At 53.8% G+C, this 18,372-nt stretch overlaps 1 protein-coding gene and 1 pseudogene across 8 annotated transcripts in view, besides 2 other annotated features; one reads left to right on the top strand and one right to left on the bottom strand.

Annotated features, from left to right (window-relative positions):
* TSPAN9 (tetraspanin 9) overlaps positions 1-18,372 on the bottom strand; it is a 209,181-nt gene that overhangs the window by 73,201 nt on the left and 117,608 nt on the right. For 4 of the 8 annotated variants that reach the window (XM_047428125.1, NM_006675.5, NM_001168320.2 and 1 more), the window contains one exon: positions 12,103-12,182. In XM_047428125.1, coding sequence (XP_047284081.1) covers positions 12,103-12,165 — 63 coding nt within the window. In that variant the 5' untranslated portion in view covers positions 12,166-12,182. Of the gene's footprint in view, positions 1-6,940; positions 7,080-12,102; positions 13,009-18,372 lie in introns of those variants that run through there. The other 4 variants (XM_047428128.1, XM_047428127.1, XM_011520912.4 and 1 more) reach the window with 2 other exon arrangements.
* RPS27P3 (ribosomal protein S27 pseudogene 3) lies at positions 1,408-1,753 on the top strand (annotated as a pseudogene).
* Positions 14,651-15,188: an enhancer, noted in NCBI's record as "H3K27ac-H3K4me1 hESC enhancer chr12:3307337-3307874 (GRCh37/hg19 assembly coordinates)". NCBI's record gives its function as "activates a minimal SCP1, AML or CMV promoter by ChIP-STARR-seq in primed H9 embryonic stem cells {active_cell/tissue: H9 hESC(primed)}" and the evidence as "EXISTENCE:reporter gene assay evidence [ECO:0000049][PMID:30033119]".
* Positions 15,189-15,727: an enhancer, noted in NCBI's record as "H3K27ac-H3K4me1 hESC enhancer chr12:3306798-3307336 (GRCh37/hg19 assembly coordinates)". NCBI's record gives its function as "activates a minimal SCP1, AML or CMV promoter by ChIP-STARR-seq in primed H9 embryonic stem cells {active_cell/tissue: H9 hESC(primed)}" and the evidence as "EXISTENCE:reporter gene assay evidence [ECO:0000049][PMID:30033119]".

The raw sequence follows: 18,372 nt of genomic DNA, 5'->3' as shown, positions 1-18,372 counted from the left end.
AAGCGGGGGAAGCCCCCCTTGAGAGGGCAGGGGGCAGAGTGAGGCTTCAGAACACACCCGCCCTCACTGTACAGAGAACAGAAGGCACAGGATCCTCACCGCCAGCAACTGCCGTTTGCTTAGAGACCCCTGCAGACAGACTCCCCAGGTTGCCCGCCCAGCCACAGTCCCATGTCCTCCAGACCTTCCTCCACCTGGCGTTCTTTAATGCCCTTCCCCGCATGATCCAAAGTGCCATTGCTAAAAGGGGTCTTCTGCAACCAGCACACCGCTGTACCCAAGCAATTCCTAGCGCTCCACAGATCTGTTTGACACCCTTTGCATTAGCCCCTTTCTCTGGCTTCCAATATCACCATGTTTTTCCTGCCTTCTCCTTCTCCACCCTCCCCACTCCCTCTGCTTGTCCACAATCCCTTCACCGGATAGGCATCCTCCCACGTTGTACATCTTCCATCCTCCAGATCCTCGAGCCCTCTCCTTTTCACCCTTCTCATAGTCCCTGGAGAGCCTGCCTCCTCTACAAACCCTGTTCTGATCAGAAGACAGATGGCAGGTGCGGGACATGAACACAGACACTAGGCCCCCCTTGCTAGGCAAGAGCACTGAGCACCATACCTGGTGCTCACCCCTGACCTGCACCCACTAGAAGACTAGCTGGCTAGCGGGCTCCTCCATCCTCTCACCTCTGGGTGCCCCATTCCCTCATCAGGTCTGCAGTGCGTGTGCACAAGAGCTCAGCTGAACCCTGGGGGAGGGTGGCAAAGCATGGAAGATCAGAAGTCTCTAGGCTAGATGCAGTGGCTCACACCTGTAATCGCAGCACTTTGGAAGCCAAGGCAGGATTGCTTAAGGCCAGGAGTTCAAGACCAGCCTGGACAACACAGGGAGACCCTGTTTCTACAAAAAATTTAAAAATTTAAAAAATATATAAAAAGAAGTCTCTATATAACATAAGATGTATAAAACCTTCATGAAACTTTACAGAAAAACATTAAAGAAGACCTAATGTATGGTGAAATATACCATGTTCATGAATAGAAATAGATAAGTAGAATACTATTCATATTCATGAATAGAAATATAAAGATAAGCCGGTCATGGTGGCTCACGCCTGTAATCCCAGCACTTTGGGAGGCCGAGGCTGGCAGATCACGAGGTCAGAAGTTCGAGACCAGCCTGGGCAACATAGCGAAGCCCCATCTCTACTAAAAATACAAAAATTAGCCAGGCATGGTGGCACACACCTGTAATCCCAGCTACTCGGGAGGCTGAGGCATAAGAATTGCTTGAACCTGGGAGGCAGAGGTTCCGATGAGCTGAGATCATGCCACTGCACTCCAGCCTGGGTGACGGAGAAAGATTATATCTCAAAAAATAAAAGAAAGAAATACAAAGACAGCAATTTTGCTTTCCGGTGGTGACGACCTACGCACACGAGAACATGCCTCTCGCAAAGGATCTCCTTCATCCCTCTCCAGAAGAGGAGAAGAGGAAACACAAGAAGAAACGCCTGGTGCAGAGCCCCAATTCCTACTTCATGGATGTGAAATGCCCAGGATGCTATAAAATCACCACGGTCTTTAGCCATGCACAAACAGTAGTTTTGTGTGTTGGCTGCTCCACTGTCCTCTGCCAGCCTACAGGAGGAAAAGCAAGGCTTACAGAAGGATGTTCCTTCAGGAGGAAGCAGCACTAAAAGCACTCTGAGTCAAGATGAGTGGGAAACCATCTCAATAAACACATTTTGGATAAAAAAAAAAAAAAAAGACAGCAATTTTCCCTAAGATGATGAATGAATTCAATGAAAGGTCAACCAAAATATCAAAAGGGTTTGGGGGAAGAGGCTGGCTGACTGATTTTTGGTGAAACAAGACAAACTAATTCTGAAATGTATGCAAAAGAACAAAGGGCCAAGAACAGCAAAAATACTCTTGAAAAAGCGTAAGAGGAAAGGATTTGCCCTACCAGATATTGAGACTTATTATAAAGTTGTAGTAATGAAGACAGTGCGGCATCAGGATAGACAAACAGTCCAGTGGAAAAGACCCAGGCATACACAGAAACACAGGTGGCGGTACAGGTCTGTGGGGAAAGGTGGACTAGTTAATCAATGGAGCTATGGAGGAAAAATCAGAGCCCTATCTTATATACAAATATAAATTCCAAATATACTAAGGACTTAAATATAAAAAGAAAAGCTTCCAGAAATCAGTCCAGGAACTCATCTTCAGTCACTTACTCATTCATTCAACAATTCACAGGCACTGATTATGTTGCGACAAGCACTGTCTTACTACCAGGCTGTAAAGCTGAAGCAGGGCGCCGTGGCTCACGTCTGTAATCCCAGCACTTTGGAAGGCCGAGGCAGAAGGATTGCTTGAGCCCAGGAGGTTGAGACCAGCCTGGACAACATAGGGAAACCCTACCTTTACAAAAAATACAAAAATTAGCCAGGCTTGGTAGCACGTGCCTATAGTTTGAGCTACTCAGGAGGCTGGTATGGAAGGATCACTTGAGCCTAGAGAAGTCAAGGCTGCAGTGAGCCATGATTGTGCCACTGCACTCCAGCCTGGCTGACAGGAGTGAGACCCTGCCTCAAAAGGAAAAAAAAAAAAAAAAAGACATCCATGAGATAGCATGTATTTCTTAAATACATAAAAAGTACAGTCTAACAAAGAAGAGGCTGAAAATTTGACTACATTACAATAAAGAATTTCTGTTTACCAAGAGACCCCATGAAGAAAGTGAAAAGACAAACTATAAACTGGAAGCTACATACTGTTTGCAATACATTTAATTAACACATTAGTATTCAAAACATAAATAAAACTCCTAAAAATTGTTAGAAAAAACGCAACTCAATAAAAAATGAACAAAAGACAAACATGCATTCACAGAAGATGAAAGAATGGCTAAGGAACATATGAAAAGATGTCCACTAGTGATCAAAGAAATGCAAATTAAAACCATTATAATATAGCATTTTACATCCACTGTACTGGAGAATGCCAAAAACCATTCCCCATTGACTCTCCACTGGTGGGAATGTCCACTGATACATCCTCACTGGAAAACAATCTGGCATTATCTAGGAAAGGTGGCAGGTACATATCCTGAAGCTCCACGGTGCCATTACACTCCTATATACCCAGAGCAGTGCTCCTCAAGGTGTGGTCCATGGAACTGCTTCATGCTTAGAAACTTTTTTTTCTTTTTTTTTTTTTTGAGACGGAGTCTTGCTCTGTTGCCCAGGCTGGAGTGCAGTGCGCGATCTCGGCTACTGCAAGCTCGGCCTCCTGGGTTGATGCCATTCTCCTGCCTCAGCCTCCCAAGTAGTTGGGACTACAGGCACCCGCCACCACACCCGGCTAATTTTTTTTTTTTTTTTTTTTTTTTTTTTGGGACAGAGTCTCACTCTGTCGCCCAGGCTGGAGTGCAGTGGCACAATCTTGGCTCACTGCAAGCTCTGCCTCCAGGGTTCATGCCATTCTCCTGCCTCAGCCTCCCGAGTAGCTGGGACTACAGGCGCCCACCACCGCGCCCGGCTAATTTTTTGTATTTTTAGTAGAGACGGGGTTTCACCGTGTTAGCCAGGATGGTCTCGATCTCCTGACCTCGTGATCCGCCCGCCTCGGCCTCCCAAAGTGCTGGGATTACAGGCGTGAGCCACCGCGCCCGGCCCACGCTTAGAAACGTTTATAGCAATCTGACATTGCCAGAACATCCCAGCACACCATCAGCTGACTCACTCAGGTACAGCTGAGCTCGTCAGGCGAGTCACGTGTGCTCTCAACCGTGTACTAGTCACATGCAGCAGGACCACCTCTGAGAACTGAAAACTTAAAAGATGGTCCTCCACCACAGATACTTCCAGAAGCACTGTCCTAAAGAAACGCCTCCACATGTACACCAGAAGACTTATACGAGAATGTTTACAGAAGTGTTGTTTAGAAAAAGGAGGAAATAACCCAAATGTTCATCACCAGAAGAATACACCTGCAGCACATTCATGTAATGAAATACCAAGAGCCATGGAAAGGTGTGCACTATGGCCACGACTATCAACGTGCGTGAATCCAGAAACACAACGCTGAATTTTTAGTTTTTTATTTTTTTTTTTTTTTGAGATGGAGTCTCACTCTGTCGCCCAGGCTGCAGTGCAATGGTGTGGTCTTGGCTCACTGCAACCTCCACCTCCCGGGTTCAAGCGATTCTCCTGCCTCAGCCTCCTGACTAGCTGGGACTACAGGCACCCGCCACCACACCCGACTAATTTTTGTATTTTTAGTAGAGACAGGGTTTCACTATGTTGGCCAGGCTGGTCTCGGACTCCTGACCTCGTGATCCACCCACCTTGGCCTCCCAAAGTGCTAGGATTACAGGCATGAGCCCCTGCGCCTGGCACAACGCCGAATTTTTAAAACTACATCCAGAACTATTCTGTTTACCAAAAGTTGAAAAATCAGTCAAACTAAATGATGCCGTGTTTAAGAATGCCAATACATGTGGCGTACACTTCACACAAGATTCAAAGAGAATGGTGCTCTCTCAGGCAGAAGCTGGGGGTCACAGAGGCTCATGGGCATAGAAAGTCCTCTATTTCATAAGCTAGGCTTCTAAGTGGGCAGGCGTTTGTTTTATGATTTTTTTAAGTACGTGAATTTACATATGATGTATTTTACAACTGTCACTTATTTTGGGTGACGGTGTTTCTGGTTGGGAAAGTGACCCGGACCTGGAGCCCTGTGTGCTCTGTGTCCTGGTCAGCCCAGGTCACAAGCCAAGCTGCCCAGTGGAATCCAACATCCACCAAAGGGCCTGTGGGGGCCCCGCACTGTGACCACCAGCCCAGCTGGCTGGGTCCAGGCCCCACTTGTCACCCCTAGGACAAAGGGAGGCAGAAGAAGTATGTGGAGCTGCCCCTTCTGGGAGGCCCAGAGGCATGGCAGGTGCAGCTGCAGGCCTTGGGGTCAGAGACCACATCCTTCTCCACTGCCTTCTCCCTACCTATAACTCTCATTCCAAGAAACCCCCCTGGCCCTCCCAGCTGCCCCCATTCTCCCATATACCCCGAAGGCCCGAAGACATTCAGAGCAATCCCCAGCCCGAGGGACACTTGGGGATCCTCCCAGGGCTCCAACCGCCCTTCCTGGCATTGTCATCCAAGCGGTCCATACTCCAACCCGTGGGCACCTAACTTCCTGTTCATACGCTCTCACCGCAGGAGCGACAGTAATACTAACAACCACAGCTCCTGCGCACGAAGTCCAAGGCGCCAGGCCTCCTGCTGAGCAGTACACCTGCATCATGCACACAGCACCTCCTGCAGGCCTCAGCACGGCCCTACAGGAGAGGTGGTATAGTCCAAGGTGAGGAAACCAGATAGCAAGAGGTTAAAGGAATACCTTCAAAACACAGCCCTCACTTCTGGAGGCGCCCACTCAGGAGGGGCTTTGTTCATGTAAAAGCTGCCTGGCTGATGCGAACATCCACTCTAGTGAAGAACCCCTGGAGTGGAAAGAAAGCTACCTGAAAGCAGGGCCCTGTCCCTCTCCTCCTTGGCCGGTCACCCACCCCCCACCAGCCACTAAAACAGGGCCTCTCTGCGTGGTCCTGACGCAGTGAGCTAGCCACTGCAAGGGAGATTTGAAATCCTGCAGCCTCCCCTGCCCAAGGGCTTCTCCAGTTCTCCCGGGAGCCTCAAAGTTTGCTGGGGCGCACAGGAGAGGAGGTAGACCCCACCTGAATCAAACCAGGGACTCACTAAGTGAGAAGAGGTTTCAGATCTCCCCTGATGTCCCATGGCTGGTTAAAGAGTCGAGTTAGAAGCCACATCTCGACCTTGTGCTGCTCCCCCGCCTGACCGTGTGCCATTTTTAACATCCCTGCCAGGATCAGACCCCAACCCCCCACCACTTCTACTGGCAGATTAGCTTTCAAATGTGAGCAGAGACAAAGCTGGCTCAGAAGACTTAACTCTGCCCGATGGGTTTAGCTCAGCTTCAAAGCTTCCTAACTGGAACCAAATAAACAGGCATATCACAGCTGGATGGGAGAGGCTGGAAAGGGGGGAGAAAACAGGGGCATCTCTCTGAAGCTGGATTACCTACAGTGACAGCTTGAGCCCGAGTGACACAGCAAGACCTGTCACGGTGGTCTCTGCCAGAAAAACAAAACAACCCTGTCCTAGGAGCCCTGGAAAGCCAGCATCCCCAGGCACTGCTGCAGTGCCCCTCTACTTCGGAACCCACTCCGAACTCTCCACCCCCAGAAGCCATTCCTGAAGGGTGCCACCAGACTGGCACGACCCTTTGTTTCTCTGGGTTCAGCCCATTGCATGTGTCCAGCAGGTGCTGTCTCCCCCTTGGACTGCTAGCTCTCCCCTGGCATAGGCTCTGGACCAATGTGTTCTCTCTTCCCACCCTTCTCCCTGCCCTGGACCCTCTAGTCTGATCTAATCAGCAAGCTCCTATTCATCCTTCAAAACCCAGGTGTCACTTGCTCTACTCTGTTATCTCTATATCTTGTCTCTAATACGCAGTATTAGTTACTCCATTAAGGAGCTCTATTAAGCAGCTACCACTCAGAACTGTAATGATCTGCTTATGTGTCTGACTTCTCCATGCAACTCTGAGCAGCTCAAAGTCCCGGCTTACGGCAGGTGCTCAACTAGCCACAGAGCATCTGCCAGCCTTTTCAGTGGAAGAAACAGAAAGGCCACAGGATTCGCTGATTCTTTTTTTCAAACTAAGGAAAAAAAAAAACAAAACAAAACAAAAGGAAGGCTGTTTTTCTTGCCTCTCTTACTGACAGGAATAAACATTTCAGAGCAGGAGAGTCAGAAAGTGGCTGTGTGGGTGTAGAGGGGAGGAAAGGACAAGTCAGGCCACCAGGGCTCTGGGTGCAGGCCTGCTGCTGCCTCACCCTAGAATGCTCTCACCTCTCCCTTGACAGCCCTGTGTTCAAATGCTCAGCGCAGGACGAGCCAGATGACCTCCCGATTCCACGACTTCCTGGCACGAGAAAACTGATCCGCCCTCTGCGAGCCCAGTCAGCCCATTCTCACCAACTGGAGGATCCTGTGCACAGAGTGGGCATTCAGTAAATAGCTGTGGCATGAGTGAATGGACCCAACTGGGACCCCAGCACCCTGATAAGCCACAGGAGGCCTCTGGCCACAGAGTCTGCCACCAAGTTCAGCCAAGGGCAGCCAGGCACATGGAGATAGGAGCAGGCCGGAGGGTGTTTTCTGTGCTCTTCACAGGCCAGGGTGGAGGGCCCAGCGGCCCCTTCCTCAGGCTAGAGCGAGCTGCTTACCCTTTTTCAACTGGGACTTTCTCTTCTCTACCCGCCTCCTCCCCACCCCCTCCTGATTGACACCAATGCTTGCTCTGACAAGATTTAAAAATAGACATTAAGACAAGGAAGTTTAATTTTTAATGCTGTGGAGAGGAAGTGAACACAGACCTGGCATTCCCTCACGGCCACATTCCAGGAGTCTTGGGGTATCTGCCAGGCCCCGCACCTGTCCCCCTTCCCCCAGCAGAGGCCAGCCTGACCCACCCTTAAGATCTACTTGTTGCAGCCCCCTAGGAAGACAGCCTGAACCCCTCACACCTGAGCACTCTGGGGGGGGGGGGCCTAAGTGCCTCTTGCTGCCCAGGTTACCCTGTGTCTCCTCTGCCTGGAGATGCCAGGTGAGGCCAGGTCTGAACCCAAGCTCCCTGCTGGGACCCTTGAGCCCACTCACTACTCCTGTTTTCAGACAGAAGGCACCCCATAGACTCCTTATGACACTCTAGGCCACCCAACACTGACCATGCACAGACCTCAGCCCGAGCCCACAGAGGCACTCGTGACATGGCCGAGCCAGTACTAAGCACGTGCCACCAATGCAGCTGGAGAGCCCGACCATGCTGCCTGCACCCAAAGGCAGCCAGCGTCTGCGAGGGCCCTGACCTCACTTAAGGGAGTTTAATCAGGGCCCCATCAGCACTCTGCCCGGGGCCACCCTGCGCCAACCTTTTCCCTGTTCCAGCAGGCTGGCTGAACACGGCCTCCTCAGCTAATTAGCCTTCATTAAGGGAGCGATCCACAAGGAATAGGCTTTCCAATGGGCCAGAATGTCACTGCTCTGCCAGCCATAATTTAAAGTGATGGGACAGCTCTGCTGGCAAGCATGAAAAATGACCATTATCCTAAGTAGCAATTACGCCAGCAGCCCCAGCCCCGCCCCCACCCCTCCACATCAGACAGGAACTTGATTTGGGCTGGGAAGAGCTGGGCGGGATCAGGACTTGCTGCCCCAGGAAGGGTACACATGACCCCAGCATTCAGAGGTCCCTTTTCCAGCCCACCCCTATACGCTCTTCTCTACTCACAGTTTGAAGCTCCGAGTCTCCTTTGCCCCCTGGGAGGGGCTTAGAATCATTTAATCTCTACTACCAGTATTCTACCAGATGGCCCCAGGAGGACCCAGAGATGGGGCTGACTGAGGAAAATGCCCAGATGGTTTTCACTGCTAGGAGAAATCCCTTAGGGTGAGTGTGCTTACTGGAGAACAGGATCCTCAGTATGGGGAAACTTTTGTCCCAATTCAAATCTCCTATTCCCTATCCACCTAGAAGCCAGCATTGTCTTTAGCCCTGAGAGTCGGGGCAGGGGATGCAGAAGACAAAGAGGAGATGGGACTCAGTCAGGAGTGACCACTGACTCCCTCTCCTCTACCCTCACCTTGCTGCCCTCCTGGAGGCCCCAGATTCCCACAGTGCACTGGGCTGCCAACATGGCTAGAACTGTCTGGTTGAAGTCGCAGTGTCAGGAGCAGACCTGGACCCCCACAGGCAGGCAGGCACCCAGCAGCCTGTGAGGCACCTGCCCTTTTCTTAGTAAGGAGGAGGACCATGGGCTGTGTGGCTCCACCTGCCAACCTACCCCCAGTGATGTCACCCAGCCCTCACCAATACTAGTACCCTAGAAGCTCCGCCCAGTGGTGAGGAACCTATGCACGCCTCTGAAGGGTTGCAGTGTACGACAGCTGCACCTCTCTTCCACATGGGAATCCTCCCAAGCGCTCAGAGGCACGGGGCGGGGTGGTGTGGCGGCAGCGGTGAGTTTGGAGAAATACCTGGTAGGCTCCGGGATCTATGGGAAGAGTTCTATCTATTGATCGCAGCCCTCAGGTTCAACTCTAATCCTTCAGAAAAGCCTCCTTTTTGGATCTGAGCCACAAGACTACAACAAGTTAAGGCTACAAAATTCCTAACAATTGCACCCGGTCCCAGAGGGCTGGGCTTGACCCAGCCTGCATGCTCCCCCTGCCCCCCTGCACAAGACAGCAACAGAGGCCTCCCAGGGACCCTGACTCATCAACACCCCACCTGCCTTTGATGTTTTCCCTTCCCATTCTGCTCTTTCCTCTGCTCCTTCCCCAGTATCAGGCCAAGCACCAGCCTGCAGGAAGCCTTCATTTGAGTGGAGCACAGTGACCCACAGCCCCCACATCCTGGCCAACACCCTCCTGCACCTGCTCCTCCACCTCCCGATAAACACAGTGGCAAACACTCTTACACACAAGCATGAACTTGTCTTCTGCTAAATTCCCCATCTTACCTAAGGTCTATGTCTTATTTAATCATCTCATTTGCTACTAGCATACAAGAAGTGGGTCTTGGAGATTCAATTTTTCCCTGCTTACAGCATGTCATGGGAATTCTGGAAATATTAAGTAATCAGAAAAGTCAGAATCCAGGAGAGAACAACTCCTTGCCTGGTAAAGAGAATGTAATCAGTACCTTCTAATTAGGAAGCGACAGCAAGTTCTCTCGCTATCAACCGTAACGAAAATATATTCCACCAACTAGCTCATTAACCTCTGCCAAGGTTTTAAGGGAAGATGGGAAGAATTGCTTGTCATCCCATAGCTATGGCGCTCGGAGAGCCTTTATCAGAGGCAAGTGTGAGATCTAACTTCTCTTCCCCATCAAGTGGAACTCAGGAACCACTACCACATGACAACATGTTGTGGATTTACAGCTCTGGCCCTCCATGCATTCATTCACAAACATATAATGAGGGCCTACAACGTGCAGGGTACAGATCACTGTACTAGCCAGTGAGGAGGTCACCAAACCACGTTGGGCTCATCCTGGAGAAGAAAGGCACCGCAGGCAGTTATACCAACTCCGGCCAGCAGGTGGCAGGGTGGGGGTGGGGAGGAGTGAGCGCAGCTGAGTGGGGTTACAAGCCCCAGGGTCTGTCTTCCTAATAAGGCTTAATATAGGCAGGGTGGGACAAAACAAAAAGGTAAGTTGAGACTACAAAAAAGAATGGAGAAGGAAGCTGTGAACAATGAAAAGGACAGCATTCGTGTGAATCCAAAGGCACCAGGGAAGCACACACCAGTACTTGGCTGACAGATGCTGGCAGATGGGTCACAGGACCAGGAGGCACTGGCCCACAAGGCAGCCAGAGACATTCCAGTGGTGCTTGCCACCAGAAAAAGAATGAGACTATCTGCCCCAGCTTCCATAAAACTCTAGGCACATGACAGGTAACTTCCTACTAGGGTGGCTGGAGGGCCCAACCCATGGTGACAACTAGGGGAATCCAACTCAAGTCACTTCAAACCAGTCTCCTTGGAAAAGCAGCCCACACCCCAGGCAGGGAGGGGGGCTTCTCTCCCCAAGAGAGAAGATGAGGATGCCTGCCCCCACCCCAGATGGCATGTAACTAGTGACGTGAGGACAAGCAGGGAGACCATCACGACAGCCCCTATTGGACTGGAAAGGAAGCCCAGTCCTTCAGGGACCAAGTGATTTGCCCAAGGTCACACAAGAAGCTAATGCAGAACCAAGACTAGAGCCCAGTCTTCTTCCTGCGCTTGTCATTCTATGGGAAAAGTCACCCCTCCACACACACCCCCACCCTAAAAAGTGTTTCGGCTAATGTGGATCACTCCACACAAAAGCTGAATGCCTCTTCGGCACAACTGCTTCTTCCCAACTTCACTCTGAATGACTTTCTCCTGCCCCCAGTGCTCCTCCTGGACCACGGGCAGTGGGCAGCTGACAGCCTCCAGAGGGCAGGACAGACTCTGGGACTGAGCCAAACATCTGTGCTACGTCGGGGCTTGGGTGAAGAAAGGCAGAGACGGCAATTGGGATGAAGGAACGATTCGAGATGAATTTAAGAAGTTTTCAAATGTTCCTAACCAGTATTTCTTATGCACGTGCACATATGTGCGCACAGCCTCCAGAGTCACACAGAGGACAGAGAGCAATTCCCAGCTGCCCTACCCATTCATACCTTCTCTACAAAAGTGCCTCTCACCAAGGACAGGGGCACCCTGCTTGTCTCCCTTTGTCCCTTCCGGCCACTGGGGCTCCCAGAACCTGGAAGCACGTGGCCAGCCAGCTCCCTGCCCGGTCCACTGCAATCCCTCAAAAGCAGCAGCCAGCCACCCGATGGCAGCATGCCCCCACACCCCTCCTTTCCCACCCAGGCCCCAACTCGGGAGCATATCTGAGGACTAGCAAGCAGGTCCATCGGCTTGAGCCAGGGGCTCCTCCTCTTTTTCCTAGGATTCACCGAAAGGAGTGGGAACATGTGGCCTCTACACCCCGCCCCCCTCCAACCCACTCCCATAAAATGCTGCAGATTGTATTCTTGTGCATTCAGGAGGAATACAAGAAGAAACTCAGAAATACATCCTCACTTGTGCCTATCTCCAACTCAGGCTCACAGCTGTTACAAATTCTGAGCCCACAGCCATTACTGCAGGCTGCCCAGTCGGAGGCACTTCCAGCCTGGGTTTTCTTATAGGGGAAGGAGGTGGTGCCAAACTTTGCCAGCCTCCTAGGAGTAGAGCAAGTCTCTCCTGAAGACAGGCAAGCTGGAGCCCCCATTCAGCCACCAAAGAGAGGGAGAAAGGAAAGACAAAGGTGCATGAAAGGGGGGCGGGGGCAATTTTTTTTTAAAAGCACACTTACCACTGTGCAGAGAGCAGAGCAATGCAGCACAGAAGAGGGAGAGGGTATTCACGCTATGGTAAGCCAAGAGGAGGAGAAGAGGGCGAAGGGAGAGAGAAACGGAAGGACTTACCCAGAATATCAAATTGAAGAGGAACATCATGTACTTCAAGCAGCAGAGGCAGCCCCTGGCCATGTTGCACTTCTTAAATTCTAGGAGGAACACAAAGGACAGGTCCAGGTAAAACACCACGTACTTGCTGCCTTTGGGTGCATTGCACTTGTCGGTCTTAACGCCGGCCTCGGCGCGGCTCTGGCCCCGGGAGCCCGCGGTGCCGTAGAAGGCGCCGGCCGTGAAGCCGCGGCCGAACGGGCGGCCGGAGGTGGACGGCTTGGCAAAGTCCGAGTCCTTGCTGTCCAAAGATGGACTCCGATGGATCGAAGAATCCTCGCTACTCGACTTCTCCATGCTCGCGGCGTTCCCGGGGGGTGCGAGGAGCGGGGGGCATCGCTCCCAGAATGGGACGGAGGGGGCGCCCAAGTCGGGCGCGGGCTGCGGGGGGGCCGGCGGAGCCTTGCACGCCCCCTCTCTGCACAGGGGCTCACTCGCGGCCGAACCCCGCGCCCAGGGGCTGCTGCCTGTCGGACGGCGCCCCGCTTCTGGCCGGCGGCCCCGGGAGGGCTCTGCGGCGCGGCGCGGCTCTCTGCGCGCTCGCGAACGATCCCCGGGAACCGGCTCGCCCGCGTAACTCAGCGTCTTTGGGGAGGCTGCAATTTGATTTCTCTTTCCAGGCCGTCAGCTCGCCTCTGGCCGCACTGGCCGCTCCACACGAGGGAGAAGGGCACCGGGATCCAGGCTCCCTGGGCACACCTCTCCCAGCCCAGCCCAGCCCCAGCGCTGAGCCCCACCACTTGGCCGGCGCTCCGCCTCCTCTCGTTCCGCGACTTTGCGGAGCTGCCGCCGGCCCTGGGCTGCCCCGGCGCGCGGCGGACAGTGCCGAGGGATCCGCCGCAGCTGCAACCGCTGGGCTTTCCCTGCGAAATCCCGGCCCCGACTCGCGACTCTGAAATCGCCTGGAGCCCCCTCCCCGGGCCCTCGGCCCCGCCCCCTGCTTTGCATTCGACCAATGGGCGCGAGGCCTTCCCGGCCCCGCTGGGGAGCCACCCCCTCCCCAATGACACACTATCTTTAATGGGATTAGCGTTCTGCTGTGTGCCTAAACAAGTGCGCCGCGAGCACTCGCTAAATGTCAAGGGCTCTGCAGCTGAGGGGTGAACCAGAACCTTCAACGGAAAGCGCTGGTCTCTTTTACCCGAGCAAGGGGGCGGCGAAAGGAGGGGGATGGCTGGAGGTACCCACGGCCCAAGCAAGCCAGAGGAAAGGTCTGGGGAGAAGGACTGGAGGGGGACAGAAGCGCGGCCGCTGTCGAGCTGGCCGCCGCCCCCTATGCACTTGGGGGCCTGTCCGGCCAGGGCACGCGGTCTCCCGGATAGACCTACACACACTCTCACACACACGCCCCCCTCCATGCCTTTGCACACGTGGGTCTGGCTAGGGCGCACAGGGAGAAGGGACCGCAGGGAGGCGCGAGGTATCGGAAAGCGCCGGGGGCCTCTGCGGGGTGCGCGCCGCCCTCCCCGCCCCCTCGGCGCGCACGCACGGGCGCGCACACAAGGCGCTCCGCCAGGCTCCTGCAGCTGCGCGAACCCTTGCCCCGCGTTCTCGGTTGGGACGCTGCGGCGGCTGGAACCCCAGGCAGGCTGACAGGGACAGGTGGACGAAGCGGGGTCCTACCTTGCCTTTCCTCACCCCGCCTGTGCCAAGAGTGATGTAGGGGTGCCCTTGGCCACTGTCTGGGTGCTCTCCCGTGAGGTCAGAGAAACGAGCTTTTGCTCGGGGCTTGGGAACATCCTACCGTAAAGCACTGCAACTGGGCAGCCTCCCTTGGGCTAGTGCAGAAGTCTGCATTGCCGACCGGGACACCACACTTTGCAAATGATGAGGATTAGAAGACTTGCGGGTGGGGAGCCCACCTCTCTTTTCTGCTACCCTTCCAGTCGCTCAGGAAGAGAGTACTGAGAGCACCCGAGGGCAAGAGCCACATTTTACCAGGTTCTGTAACCCCATCCCCTACCACAGGGCTTGGCCTCTGGGAGGTGCTCAATAGGGATGGCTGGATGGAAGAATTCATGTCCTACCTGGGGCGGTGGGTGTGAAAAGTCCTCCCTGGATCCCAGCAGGTATTCATGTCACACCTAGAACTGTGTGCTAAACCCTGGGCCAGGCCCTCGAAGAAACAGATATGAGAAGTGGGGCTCCCTGCCCTTCAGGGAGCCACAATCCAGTTAGGAAGACAGGAGGGCATTAATCACCAAGGCAGCACAAATGGGCAGACACAGAGCTACCACAACAGGCATGGCCATGGTGGGAGGGGGACATGAATTCCAGCCAGAGGGACTTCCAGACCCTCATCACAGAGCTGTGGTAGTGACCTGTGCTGATGGTGACCTGTGCTGGTGGTGGCCTGTGCTGGTGGTGACCTGTGCTGGTGTGACCTGTGCTGGTGGTGAGCTGTGCTGGTGTGACCTGTGCTGGTGGTGGCCTGTGCTGGTGGTGGCCTGTGCTGGTGGTGAGCTGTGCTGGTGGTGGCCTGTGCTGGTGGTGAGCTGTGCTGGTGGTGGCCTGTGCTGGTGGTGACCTGTGCTGGTGGTGGCCTGTGCTGGTGGTGAGCTGTGCTGGTGGTGAGCTGTGCTGGTGGTGGCCTGTGCTGGTGGTGACCTGTGCTGGTGTGACCTGTGCTGGTGGTGGCCTGTGCTGGTGGTGACCTGTGCTGGTGGTGGCCTGTGCTGGTGGTGGCCTGTGCTGGTGTGACCTGTGCTGGTGGTGGCCTGTGCTGGTGACCTGTGCTGGTGGTGGCCTGTGCTGGTGGTGGCCTGTGCTGGTGTGACCTGTGCTGGTGGTGAGCTGTGCTGGTGTGACCTGTGCTGGTGGTGACCTGTGCTGGTGGTGGCCTGTGCTGGTGGTGGCCTGTGCTGGTACGGTGAGCTGTGCTGGTGGTGGCCTGTGCTGATGGTGCTGGTGGTGGCCTGTGCTGGTGGTGAGCTGTGCTGGTGGTGGCCTGTGCTGGTGGTGAGCTGTGCTGGTGGTGACCTGTGCTGGTGGTGACCTGTGCTGGTGGTGACCTGTGCTGGTGGTGGCCTGTGCTGGTGGTGAGCTGTGCTGGTGGTGGCCTGTGCTGGTGGTGACCTGTGCTGGTGGTGGCCTGTGCTGGTGGTGGCCTGTGCTGGTGGTGAGCTGTGCTGGTGGTGACCTGTGCTGGTGGTGGCCTGTGCTGGTGACCTGTGCTGGTGGTGGCCTGTGCTGGTGGTGACCTGTGCTGGTGGTGGCCTGTGCTGATGGTGACCTGTGCTGGTGGTGGCCTGTGCTGGTGACCTGTGCTGGTGGTGGCCTGTGCTGGTGGTGACCTGTGCTGGTGGTGACCTGTGCTGGTGTGACCTGTGCTGGTGGTGACCTGTGCTGGTGGTGGCCTGTGCTGGTGACCTGTGCTGGTGGTGGCCTGTGCTGGTGGTGACCTGTGCTGGTGGTGGCCTGTGCTGATGGTGACCTGTGCTGGTGGTGGCCTGTGCTGGTGACCTGTGCTGGTGGTGGCCTGTGCTGGTGGTGACCTGTGCTGGTGGTGACCTGTGCTGGTGTGACCTGTGCTGGTGGTGACCTGTGCTGGTGGTGACTTGTGCTGGTGAACCTGCAGCCTCACTGGCTCCCTGGCAGGCCCGCCTCCTAGAGGTGAGAGCTCTCCCATTCTGAGTGGAGCTCTCCCATTCTGAGTGCAGCTCCCCTACTTTAAAGGAAACTGCAGTGGTTTTACCATCCTGAGCCCCTTCCCAACTCAGATGGGGAGCCCAAGAATAAAACCTAGTGTGTATTACAGCCACCAGCAGCTACTCTCTCTGGGTTCGGCATAGCAGTCCCACCGATGCTGTCTGGAGATGAAGGGGCAGATGTCTAGTCGCCTCCTGATGTAGCATCAGGGCTGCCTGACTGGCATGGCTAATGCCTTTTGTCCTCTGCAGCCTCACCTGGCCGCTCCTGAGGGGCCCACGGCTGCCGCTTCATTCTCACAACATTACTTCTTTGATGCAGGGATAGATCATTTACCAGCTGGACCAAGAGTCAAGAGACCTGTTTTTCACTTTGAGCTCTTTTTAGCTGTGTGATCAAGGGCAAGGCAGTTTGCTTTTCTGAGCTCCCGTTTCCTCTTCTTTAACATGGGGATTAAAAGAGCCTACCCCCTAGAGGTGTTACAAGCATAAAGTCAGTTGGTGGATGTGAGGAGAGTCTGAGGACATGAGACTGAACAAATTGGAGGGGCTGATCCTACCAGTCTCAGATGGGGGCCTGGTGTCACGGAGGGCCCTCGCAGGGTGGCCCCCTCCACTTCCTAACCCTTTTTCATCTCTTCTGCCCAGCTCACACTTTGTCCAGGCAGAATAGTTGCCTCATTGTCCCTGGATCTTTCCATCTTCATTTCTGATTATAAATGAATTTGTGCCACTAACCATTTCCTCAGAAGTCTGAGGGCCTTGGGGTTGGGATGGTCCCCAGCAGGTAGGGGAAACAACAGGCAGGTAGGAGAGGAAGTGGAGGCTGCAATGCAACAGTTCTGCCTCCTCTGGTCACACTTGTCAAAGGGCACTGAAGTCACACCTGTCAGTCCCTGAGCAAAGCTGTAGTGAAGTCCCATCAGGGCACTCAGCTTAGTCATCAGAATCATAAAAGCAACTTTAACGTATAAGTCTTTATTTACCCCAGGGACCCAGCTTCCCACAAAGTAACTCACTCAATCTTCATAACAACCCTACAAGATAGGTACACCCTATTATCCCCATTTTACAGAAAAGAAAACTGATTTCACAGCCCATGCACCACACTCTCTTAGACTCTACAAGTTTCTGCCCTTAAGAATCTTCCAGGCTAACAGACTCTTAAAGCACAACGGGGAACCTGAAATATCATGTCCTGATGTGATGTCATTAGATGAAAGGACCCTGAGGAAGGGGCAGTGCTCCTGGACTGCTAATAAGAAAGGCGAGTCATCACCCAGATGGCCTTGAGTTACCTGACACAGGCTGGAAGAAGGAAGCTGGTGTGGGGAGACGCAGCGTAATCTAGTCCTATCTTAGGGGGAAGGTGGTAGAGCAGCCTCAGGAAGGCAGCTCTAGGAACACGTCCCTCCTCCTCCCTCTCTCACCATGAGCACACCATCCATTGGTGCTGGTTTGTTCAAGATAAGAGGACGCGGAACAAGGACCCACGGAAGACACAAAGCTGAGCTGAGTAAGACAAGGCGTGGGCCTCAAGGAGCTCAGATCTAGCTGAAGCGACCCACCTTCTACCCCCACTCACGACTGCAGCTAGAGAAGCCCAAAGCAGACTGATGCACAGAGCACAGACCGTGGCAGGATGGGCACCGAGCTGTCCCTTGCAGAAGGGCTCTCTGAAGTGGGTGGCCACCCTAGAAAGGCGTGAGTGTGGTACCTTCGGGAGGCAGGGAGGGGACAGGCCTGACTGAAGCAAGAGAAGGTGCTTAGAGGTCAAAGTGAGCTACCCTGTGAAGCCTTGCATGGCATATGAAAAGCCTGGGCTGCATCCTGCAGGGTCCCAAGCAGTGGGGCCCATGATTAACCGGTGCCCTAGGAAGCTGGGCCTGGCACTGGCATCGGGGTGGAGGAGAGGCAAGAGATGAAAAGACCAGTGGCTGTGGCTGCCTCAGTTCCTTAGATTGGGGGTACAGATGGAACAATCAGATAGAAATGGTGCTGTGAGACATCATCCCTCTGGCAGCTCCCGATCATTCTCAGCTTGCCACCCAGGCAAGCTGGCAGGTGCAGGCTGCCCTTCAGGGGGCTCTCTGAGCATGTGAACAAGGCAGCCTGACTTCACTTTTCTTTTATTTTTTTTTTAACAAAAAAAGTGAAGTAACTACAGCATTCTCAGAGGGGAAGAAGAAAAGTGAATAAATGAAATCAACATGCCACATCTCTGCTGGTTGGCAACTGGGGAGATGTGGGCTTTGGAGTAAATGCCAAGCTCTCTCTGCCTCTCTGTGAATTCCTCAGGCTGGCAGCATGAGACAGGGCTCAGTCTTTGGTCTCTCCCTCACCCACACACAATCAGAACCAATGGGCCAGCCCACAGCCCCTTTCTGACCCATGCTGAATATTCCCACATTTGACACAAGGTACAGCTTGTGAGGCACCCTGTGCCTTTAAGCCTCAAACAAGGCAGCCTCCCACAAAGCCAGGGTTCAGGTTAGACACAAAGCGCTGACTGCCACCCAAAAGAGCCTGTGAGACGGGCACCATTTTAGAAGGGAGAGCTACTCACCTCCCCCCAATTTTTAAA

This window comes from Homo sapiens, chromosome 12, assembly GCF_000001405.40.
Source record: "Homo sapiens chromosome 12, GRCh38.p14 Primary Assembly".
In the NCBI taxonomy this organism is placed as follows: Eukaryota; Metazoa; Chordata; class Mammalia; order Primates; family Hominidae; genus Homo; species Homo sapiens.
The sequence above is the reverse complement of the archived record's forward strand: the minus strand, read 5'-3'. Positions and strand labels throughout refer to the sequence as shown.